Source organism: Homo sapiens, chromosome 5 (genome assembly GCF_000001405.40).
Source record: "Homo sapiens chromosome 5, GRCh38.p14 Primary Assembly".
Lineage (NCBI taxonomy): Eukaryota > Metazoa > Chordata > Mammalia > Primates > Hominidae > Homo > Homo sapiens.
In genome coordinates, this window is record NC_000005.10 from 3,863,746 (window position 1) to 3,875,241 (window position 11,496).

Genomic DNA, 11,496 nt, shown 5'->3' on the forward strand with positions numbered 1-11,496 from the left:
TGTCCATCAACATCTTCAACAATAAACCAGTGGAAGGCAGAACAAAATCCTATATCCAGGCTTATGAAGATCAATCTGTTCTAAAACAACTGACTAAAACCAACAGAAGGACTCAGAGACAAGGTTCGCTCCAGGAACAAGACCCCTGGAAGGCCTTCCAGGGAAAATTTTTAACGAGTTGATTTCTCAATGCCCAAGGATCAAGCCCAAGCTAGATGACCTGGTCCACAAAGTTCTTTATGGCCTGAACTTTACCTTCTCAGCCTCATCCATGGTAATCCCCCCACTAATCCTGTGATTTCGCCATAACTGTTCAGTCATTCAACAAATCTTTCATAAGCACCTACTATGTGCTGAGTTTCCCAAGCTGGCAATGTTCTGTGTCACTTCCTTCCAGAAATGCTGTTCCCAGAGCCTGATGGCGCTCATCCTCCCAGTCTTGGCTGAGATGATGTTCCTTTTGGAGACTTCTGAGACTTTCTAGACCAGATAATTTTCTTACCATTTGGGTCCACTTGTTAAATTTTTTAATAACCTTATATCCAGTTTTACTGTCATTGACTTAAAAACAACAAAAGTCTATATCTCTTCCCAAACTGTAAGTGTATATGCTGAACAAGCATTCTAAGTGTCTGTTGTTGTGTAACAAAACATCTCAAAACTTAGTAGCTGAAAACAACAATTCGTGATTTTTGACTGGGGGGGCTCTTCAGCTCTAGCAGAGGTTGGCAGAGGTCACTAGTGTGGCTGCAGCTGGGAGCTTGCCAGAACACAGCACATCCAAATGGCCTCTCATCCTCTACCCCATCTCCCCACAGGCCCTCTCATGTCTAATTTCTCTTCCTTAGCATCTTCCTAAGGGCTGGCCTTGGCAGCCCCATGATATCACCTCTGCCACATTCCACAGGACAAAGCAAATCACAAGATGAGCCCACGTAGGGGAGTTTACTCCATCCTTCGTGTGAGGCGGGGGGACAGGTGCACTCAGGGAGGGGCTGCTGCGGGCTCTGTCTGCAGACAGTGACTACAAGGACTTTTCCGTCTCACTCACAGCCCTACCCTTAGTGTCTGAAGCTCTGCCTGCATAATAGGTGCTTAAGAGATGTTCACTGACGAATGGGGAGCATCTGTGCAAGACGTCTTGTCCCTGGAGGAACTCAGGAGCACTTGGGTGGCCACATGAGAGCTGTGCTCTGGGAGGACTCTGCCTTGGGAGAGAAGACCCTAGAGAACCCTTCTGATCAGTTCTAACCTCCTGACATCTCCGCGGCTGCAACAGCAGCATGACGGGCGTGAATCACGCTGCCCTTGAACGTGACTGGAGAAGGCGGTATTTACAAGTCTACTGTGGGCCCATATTAAACTTCACTTTGACATAGGCTCACTTCTTTGGCAGTGAGAGTGAAAGGGGTGGAGTGAGTGTGCCACGCTAGTTGGCTCCGGGACACAATGGGGCTGGCGGCTGGAAGAGGATAAGGGACAGGTGAGAGACAGGCATCCAGGCTTTGGCGCTAAGATTAACTGTTCACTTTTCTTTAATTGGCACCGTTCATGTCCATGAATATACTAAATATGTTTGGATACCTACGTTTTTTAAGCCTTGGAATTTTGCACTCTGTTTCTAAAACAGGGTAAGGAATTTCACAAATTAACTCATTTGGCTAAGTGCATACCCCATGGGATCTACCAGTCGAACTGTGGGGAGAGGCTGGCCCTGCCCCCTGGCCATACCCCTTCTGAGCCGCCCTCTTCCACATCCAGCCGCTGCTCCCTCCCAGGAGAGGCAGGCGGTCCTCTGACCTTGGTCCTCTGCATACGCTCTTCTGGCTTCCAGGATACCTGTCTCCTGGGCTGAGACTTCCTCACTCTTCATGCAGTGAAGCCATGACCATCACCCCCAAAGCAGGGTGGGACTCATCATTGGAAGAGGTCTCTATCATCATGTGGGTGTGTTTCCTTTTTTTTAAACAACTTTTAATTAATTTAATTTAATTTTGAGAGATAGGATCTTGCTCTGTCATCCAGGCTGGAGTCCAGTGTGCCCATCATGGCTCCCTGCAGCCTTGACCTCCTGGGCTCAAGCAGTCCTCTCGCCTCAGCCTCTGGAAGAGCTGGAACTATAAGCACACATGCACCACCACTGCCCCCCTTTTTTTTTTGTAGGAACAGGGTCTTACTCTGCTGTCCAGGCTGATCTCAAACTCCTGGGCTCAAGTGATCCTCCTGTGACAGCTTCCCAAAGTGCTGGGATTACAGGCTTGAGCCACCACACCCGGCCTGTGTTCATTTTCCATTGCTGTTTTTTTTTTATTTTTTATTTTTGAGATGGAGTCTGGCTCTGTCTCTCAGGCTGGGGTGCAGTGGCAGCATCTCAGCTCACTGCAACCTCTGCCTCCTGGGTTTAAACCATTCTCCTACCTCAGCCTCCCAAATAGATGGGATTACAGGCACCTGCCACCACACCCAGCTAATTTTTGTACTTTTAGTAGAGATGGGGTTTCTGCATGTTGGCCAGGCTGGTCTCAAACTCCTGACCTCAGGTGATCTGCCTGCCTCAGCCTCCCAAAGTGCTGGGGTTACAGGCATGAGCCACCACACGCAGTCTCCATTGCTGTTTTAACCAATGATCACAAACTTACCTGGCTTCAACAACACAGATTTACCACCTGGCATCTCTGGAGGTGAGAAGCCTGATGTGGGTATCACTGGGCCCATGTTCAGGTGTCCAAGCTCCACTTCGTCTGGAGGCTCCAGGATAGAATGCACGTCCTTACCTGTCCTTGGTCCAGAGCCCACCCACACTCCTTCACTCACCGCCCCTTCCTTCACCCTCAAAGCCAGCGATGCTGCGTCCATGTCCATCAGTGCCTTTCTTAGCTAGGTCTCCCTCTAGTTGACTCTCTCATTCTGCCTTCTTCCACTTTCCAGGCCTCTTGTGACTACATTTGGCCTTCTTAAATAAGGCAGAATAATCTCTTCATTTTGAAGTCAACCAGCCTTAATGCCACCTACAGCTTTAATTTCCCTTTGCCATGTAACCTGACATATTCCCAGAGCCTTCCTGGGGTGGGGCTGAGGGTGGGGGATTGTTCTACTGACCACATGTTTTTCACACATTGTTGTTGCTCTTTGACTTGGCTGTGTCTTCGTCTAGACATGTGTTGTCCAATACGATAGCCACGAGTGTAGCAGCCATTAGTTATGGAATTCCAGTTAAGTAAACTTAAATAAAAATAAAAATTCACTTCCTCAGTTCCACAAGGGCCATTGCAAGTGCTAAATGGCCATAGGGTTGAACCACCAGGCTGAACGGTGCAGACACACAACATTTGCATTATCACATCAAGTTCTTTTGGAGAGCACTGGAGACTGTTCTCTAAGGCCAGGGTGGTACGTGGCTTATCTTCAGATGCCCACTGCTTAGCGGCTTTGTAGCATCAAGCTGGTACCCAAACGATATGCGGCAAGTGGATGAATGACTGTCACAGGCTATCCTAAAGTAGAGGGAGTGAGTCATCTTCTGCCCCTCATTTCCAGTGGACACACACAGATACAGCTATTTCTAGCAGCCTGAATGCCGTAACGTTAAGTGTTTATGGAGAAAGCGAATAATAAGGATTCATTTGTGAAAATTATTTTAACTTGGAAACAACTGAAGAGTTACAGGTTGAAAAAGGCAATTAATGTTCCAATGATGAAAGTAGCCAGAGGTAGACAGAATTTGCTCTTTGTCATTTGCTCATACTGGGCTAAAAAATGGCAATTATCTTTTTCTGCAAATCAGATTTTTAAAAATCTAATTCAAGTTTTTCCTTTTTTATCTTTGAAACTCTGCCATGCCTCTGTTCCAAAAAGGGAGGCGCGTGTGTGTTTTTGTATGTGTGTGTTAGTGTGTAGGTAGGAGTAGAGTTAAGGGTAGACCAATAAATTTAAACCTAAAATAATTAAAGTGATTTTAATCTTCCAGCTATGGTAAATGTGTCTGCCATCAAAATGGGTCCATTCATTGGAAACTACACATCATGCTAAGTCACTGTATGCTGAAGGCTTTGGATAATATGCAGAGGGAGCCCCAGTGATAGGAATTGGCCATCAAACCAGGCTGTCCACTGGCTTCCAGCAGCTGGTAAGTGTTTGGATCATAGGGAGGTGGGAGTGGAGGTGGAGGAGCTGGTCATGCTCTCGAAGGCTGCATGGTGCCTGGCGGCGGGGAGGCAGCAGGAGCAATCGGAAGCCTGGGAGCAAACAGGGTGCAGGTTCGTGGGGCCTTTACTCCGAAGACAACTGCTGCCACATCAGCATGGCCCTCTGCAGCATGAAGTGCATTGCATTCACCATTCAGGAAGGGAAAAAAGGATGTTTTAAAGTGGAATTTAATACAAATATAACTATCTGCTCCTAGCCCCCGCCCCTTTCTTTCTGGCTATTAGAGCAGAAGCAGAATAACTGTCCTACTTTTTCACACCAGCACATTCAGTCTTACTATGATTCTCGAAGAATGTTAATTAGGGGAAAATACCTTAGTTGTTAAAAAATGTAAACATCCACGCTTCTTCTTCACTACAATCTTTTCAGAACATGATATTCGGAGCTGGGCTTTAGAACTTCAGCATCATATCATTTGGTTGAAAGATTTTTCTTCTTGACTTTCCAAGAAAAAAAAATCATTTGTGAACTGGCATATTGGCTCCATTTGTTCAGGCAAAACAAGGTGTTTTCTCATCCCACAGTGGGGGTACTTTGAAGCTAGCTGCTTTAGTGAATGCTTTGTGGCCAAGAGAAACAAAGCAGGTTCTCGAAAGAAATGAAATTAATTATCTCCATTTGCTACATATACAATATTCTATGCATTAAGTACACCATTAATATATACAAACACTCTATGTTGTACAGTGTTTTATTAAATTCACTTATCTTGTCCTTTCACTTTATTATTACATTACAGAATAAAAAACTCCACTAACATATCTTGTGTCAGATAATTGTATTTCATTTTTTTTCTCTTCTTGGAAATACAGTACCCTCATAGAATATCCAAAAAAGATAATTCATATTCAGATTCAACTAAAATTAATCAAGTACTTACTTTGTACAGACACGGCATTGGTAGCTTTGATATACATTATGTTATTAATGAGGAAATTATTTATCAAACCTCAGTTTTTTATCAAAACTAAATAACCAAAAATATTTATCAAACCCTCAAATAAAGATATTATCCTACACTCAATGTATCTCCTTTATAAATTTTATAGAATTGTGAATTTGAAAACTAATGGGGAGAAAATTACTTACAACTCAACCAAAAAACAAACAACCCCATTAAAAAATGGACAGAGGACTTACAACTTCTCCCAAGAAGATATGCAGATGGCCAATAAGCACATGAAAAGATGCTTGACATCTTTCATCATTAGGAACATGCAAATCAACATCACAATGAGTTACCACTTTCCACCCTTTGGGAGGGCTCCTGCCCAAAACAACAGCAACAATAAAAACCAGAAAATAAGAAGCGTTGGCAAAAATGTGGAGAAATTGGAACCCTTAAGTCATTGCTAAGGGAGCGGTGGAAAATGGTATAGCTAATGTGGAAAATAGGTATGGCAGGTCCTCAAAAAGTTAAAAATAGAATTACTGATTCATCCAGCAATTCTACTTCTGATGAAACATATACCCCAAAGAATTGAAAGCAGACACTTTAGCAGATATTTGTACACCCATCATCCTAGCAGCATTAATTTCAATAGCCAAAAGGTGGAGCATCCCAGGTGCCCATGGATGAATGGATAAACAAAATGTGCCCATGGATGAATGGATAAACAGTGAATGAATAAACAAAACGTGGCATCTACGTACAACAGGATATTATTCAGTCTTAAAAAGGAAGGAAATTTCGACCCGGGCTACGACATAGGTCAGAATAGAACCTTGACATTATGCCACTTGAAATAAACCAGACACAAGAGGATAAATACTGTTTGATTCCAGTTATATCAGACAACTAGAGTAGTCAGATTTGTAGAGACAGAAAGTCTAACAGTGTTTTCTAAAAGCCCGAGATAAGGAAGAGGAGGATTTAGTGTTTAACAGGTATAGAGTCTCAGGTGGGGATGATGAGAAAGTTCTGGAGATGGATGGTGGTGATGGTTTTATAACAATGTGAACTTGCTTAATGCCACTGAACGGTACACTTAACATGACTAAATGGGATAATTTTATGTTGTGTATATTTTACTATAATAAAAATATTACTAGTGTAAAAACTATTACAAAGTTTAGGGAAAAAATCTAGAAAGAGCAGAGTATAATATAAAATGATGAAAAATGTCTTTCAGATTTACAGATGTCTTCAAAGTCAATGTAGGAAAATGAAACTGTGAATTATTTAGGCATCTTTTTAAATGACAGTTTAAAAGGTGTGAGTAAATATCAATGATGCCGTGCATAAAGATGTTAATGGGAGAACTGCCAACTGATCCTCTGTGGCAGGGTGGGGGACTTGGGGGGGCGGTTGGTACCGTCTCCATAATCGTAATCACCTAATGGGTTGGCCTCCCAAGGGCCTCCTTCCTCTGTTCTCTTGTTCTGCTGGAGAATGTTTTGTTTCAGATTCTGAGTAAACTTTCTACCTTCTTCTTTCTCCTTTTGACTTTCCAAGCTCCCGATGGACTTCTTAATTCATGCAGTAAGCCACTGCAGTTTAAGCACGCAGGCTCCGGTCAGGACTGGGCAGGTTAATATTCCATCCCCTAGACTAGAACTGCAGGAACATGACACCGTGAAGATGAACAACAATGTGTGTCCCCTTCCATGCTTACTGAAAAACACGACACCGATGCCTAGAGACTCTGCCACACGGAGCAGAGTACAACAGGGCTCTGCTGTGTTTAGAGAACAGGATGGTTGGCAAGACTGAATCATTCAGACCTAAAAGTACTTTTATCTTTTATTAGTAGTTTTACAAAAGTAGTTTTATAAAATGCATTGCATTTTTTCTGGATGGAATCAGAGATTATACCCACAAATAAATTGTAACTGGAGTGCATTGTATTACAATTCACTGACTTCACACGAGACTTAAACATGAAATTATTCCCTTAAGAGTACATTCAAGTAAAATTTAAGGAGAAATAAGCACATCTGTAACTGAGATTTAGTTCTTTTCAAAAATACTTAGAAGGTAATGTGCTCTGCATGCAGGGCTCTGTGTGGAACAGGATGGGGGCGGGGCAAAGCTGAATCTCTGCAGGTCCACCCCAGGCCTCTGCATGCAACAGGGTGAGGGTGGTGGGAAGCTGGACCTCCACAGGTCCACCCCAGGGCTCTACGTGGGAGAGGGCGAGCGCAGGGGGAAGCCAGATCCCCACAGGTCCACCCTAGTTGGACCAAATCACCCTGCATAGGAGATTTGGATGTGTAATTTACTACTATTCGCTAAAAGAAAATTCCCACACACGTGCCACACACATATTCATGTGTATGTCCATGTCTGTAAGTTATTAGGAAATCTCAGCATTCTCTTTCTGTATATAGGGGTGAAAATGTAATATCTTTTCCTCATCCCTTACAAAGTTCATGGCTGACAACCATGTGACAGAAGACAGGTTAACAAGAGAAAAGTATGTAAGTGTTACAGGACGTGAGGCCCTCCAGAAATGAAGACACAAAGCCCCAGGAGGTGGTTATTTTTTTTCTTCGATTGGATGAGGAATGAAGGGACAGTAGTGTGGGTGTGCGACTGGACAGCGGGTATGACTGAGTGGTGATAACTGAGGGGAGGATCAGCTGGGTTGTGTGTTAGGATTTTTCTGTGTCTTTTTGTCTCCACTCCTTTCCTCTGGCTATGCAGCAGGGCAGGACACCTGTGCCAGAGGGGCTTTCTTTGAGAAAGGCTGGAGAAGGTCAGAGGTCATCCTTCCTGCTTCCACAATTGTTTCCTTTCCCTCAGCTTGTCTTCATGTGATACTCAGCACACCACTGTGCCATTTATTGGGGGTATTGTGTTCTGTGCCCTGAGAGGTGGTACAAAAATTCAGAGGCCAAACGTTGGCCCCATTAGCCATTTCCTGAGCATTGCTCTGGCCAAGTATTTATTATTTTAGAAAGAAAGCCTGATAAGCACCAACGCATCTTCATCCCATACATGACACTGTTTTGCAGGAATTCCACTTGTATCATACTGGGACCCAGTAACCCCGCATTCTTCCAGCTCCGTCCTGCTGCAGGAGCCGGGAGCAGGACAAACCCTTCAGCCCCATTTGTGTCGATCCCTGATTGCTGACTCCATGCATTAGAAATACACTCCTTCTCTTTACTATCACAAGGCGACAGCTCGAGAATCTCACCTTAAATGTAAGATAACCATTCTGGGGAGTAGGTTTTACACAGAAACAGTGATGTGGGCCACTTTAAGAAGCCCTTTAAACACCTCTGGTGGGAAGCCCTGGGAATCAAGGAAAGGTGGGCATAGGTAGGGGATGGTAAGCCAGGCTTGCCATGCTCATGAACAGAGGGTGGGCAGGCTTGCAAGGAAGAGTGACAGAGGAGAAGTGCATGCCAGGGATGGGGGAAGATGGTGTGGGGACCCAGAGTCTCCATCCCATGCGAATGGATTGTGAGGGGAGTAAGGAAGAACACCAACATCCATCTCTCACAGCGATACCTCTTCCGTGAGAAGTAAACATTTCTAATCCTTTTTGTTAATTATTCTAGCAGGCAAGGACAGATACAGAGCAGGCAGGGCACGGAAAGGGATTGTAGACCCAAACTCCCCCTTCATTGTGTCCACATTTGCACAGAGAAAGAATTCAAGACCCCATAAAGATAATTTTGGTCATCCTATGTTTGATATTTCTAGTAAATGTTTATTTTAGAGATTTCAAGATGATTGGATCAGCTTAAACTCATAGGATAGTATTCAGTCTTAATTTTCTAGACAAGCTTCCCTTAGTTTGGGCTGAATTGAGGTAAAGTGGAAATGTACCACTTCTACATAGGAGTGAAACATGAAATGTCTAGGTCCTAATACAGGATTTGACATTCTCCTGGCTGTTTTCCACTTTCTGAGCCTAAAGAGAGTGGCAGGTGTGTGTGATGCTAGATAAAAATGAAGGTGATTGGGGGCCTGGTGGAGATAGTGCTGCCTTTAACCAGAAGCCCAATCCAGAAGAGGGGTTAAGGCAATATATGTGGCTCCATGGCTCCTCCTATAGAATGTCTTCTCTTGACACCTTAAGTTTTTAAGTTTTCAAAGCCTGCAGAGCACTAATTTCTGGAGCCTCCTCTAGTTAACACAAACCCAAAATAATTTAGAGAACATAAGACCTGTTCTTATTAAAAACTCATATTGACATCCCCATTAGAATGGCAAAAATCCAAAGTACTGACAATATCAAATGCTGGTGAGGATGTGGAGCAACAGGAACTCCCATTCATTCCTGGTGGCAATGAAAACTGTACAGCCACTCTGGAAAACAGTTTCATGGTTTCTTACAAAACTAAACATACTCTTACCCTATGATCCAGCAGCTGTGCTCCTTAGCATTTGCCCAAAGGAGTTGAAAACTTATGTCCAAGAAAAAACCTGCACACAGATATTTATAACAACTTTTTTCATAATAGCCAAGAGTTGGAAGCAACCAAGATGTCCTTTAGTAGGTAAATGAATAAATAAACTGTGGTTCATCCAAACTTTGGAATATTATTCAGCACAAAAAAGAAATGTGCAATCAAGTCATGAGGAGACATAGGGGAAACTTGAATGAATATTACTCAGTGAAAGAAGCCAATCTGAAAAGGCTACACCCTGTGAGTCCAACTATAGGACATTTGGTAAAAGCAAAACCATGGTGACAGTCAGAAGATGAATGGTTGCCAGCAATTCAAGGGAGAAAGGAATAAATAGGTAGCATGCAGGGGATTTTTAGGGAGGAGAAATTGTGCTGTATAATACTATCACAGTGGATAGAGGTCAGTATACATTTGTCCAAAACCATAGTATTCACAACACCAAGAGTGATCCCCCAGTGTGAATGATGGGCTTTGGGTGACAATGATGCACTGATGTGTCAGTGTGGGCTCATCACAGTCTGGTGGGTGATTCCCATAGTGAGGGAATCTGGGCATGTGTGAAAACTCTCTGTACTTTCTGCTCAATTTTGCTGTGAACCTGAAACTGCTCTTCAAGCATCATAGAAGACTTGAACACTTAACCAAAAAAGATAAGGAATCCCTGATAAGCACATGAAAAGATGCTCAATATCATTAGCCATTAGGAAAACACAAATTGAACCACATTGAGCTACCACTACACACCTACTAGAATATCTTTATAAAGGCGAGAAACACTTACAGTACCATGTGCCAGTGCGCATGTGAGTCCACCAGGGCTCTCCCGCACTGCTAGTATGAATGCGGGATGGTACGATGAGCTGGGAGAATAGTTTGGCAGGTTCTTAGAGAGAGAAACATGTATTTATCACACATCTCAGCCCTTTTACTCCTAGGCTTTTGCCTAGAAGTGAAGACATGCTTTCACACAAACACTTGACACATGTTCACAGCAGCAGGATGCATGATATCCAAAAAATGGAAACCACCGAAATGTCCATCAACTGGTGGATGGAGAAACAAATGCTGCTCCATCTATTCAATGGAATTCTACTCAGCAATAAAAACGAATAGTGAGGCTTGAGTGAATCCACACGTGGGCAAACCACAAAAGCATTATTCCAAGTGAAGGAAACCAGGCCCAAAAGGGTAGCAAGTGTATTATTCTGCTGATGTGGCACTGTGGGAGAGGAACCTCTAGGGACAGAAATCAGACCTGCACTGCCAGGAGTTAGGGGTGAGGGGGAAAGGGTCACTCCAGAGGGGCACAGGGGAGGTTTTTTGATTTGACGGGATTGGTCTCTCTTGACTATGGTGGTGGTCACACAACTTCAAACACTTGTCAAAACTCAGAAACACAAAAAGGGGATTCTTACTATACATATATACATTATGTTTCAGTAACTTTGATTAAATAAGCCATATTGAATCAAACATTGTTTCTTAGTTAGGTTTGATTTTTACTACTTCTCTCGGGCATAAGACAAAATAACATTTCCTGTGCTGATCTAAGAGGGAGAGAAAACAAGGCTCATGCTGTAGAGTGCTGTGGACTCTCCCAGATGGATCTGAAGGCAGATTCCATGTCGTTAGAAGTGTAGGCAAGACATGGGTAACATTCTCCAGGCGGCAGACAAGGCAAAGGCCATTGGTCTGTTCTTGCAATTATCAGGGATACCTAAGGAAGGGGATAAGAAAAAGGGAAGGGTCAGGTGTGGTGGCTCATGCTTATAATCCCAGAAATTTGGGAGGCTGAGGCAGGAGCAATGCTTGCACCCAGGATTTGGAGATCAGCCTGGGCAACATAGTGAGATCCTTCTCTATAAAAGAGAAAAAGAAAGGGGAAGGACACAGAGCAAAGCATGGGTGTCTCAGACCGGAACT

At 43.6% G+C, this 11,496-nt stretch overlaps 1 annotated feature.

The window, feature by feature from the left end:
• Positions 4,222-4,722: an enhancer, noted in NCBI's record as "H3K4me1 hESC enhancer chr5:3868081-3868581 (GRCh37/hg19 assembly coordinates)". NCBI's record gives its function as "activates a minimal SCP1, AML or CMV promoter by ChIP-STARR-seq in primed H9 embryonic stem cells {active_cell/tissue: H9 hESC(primed)}" and the evidence as "EXISTENCE:reporter gene assay evidence [ECO:0000049][PMID:30033119]".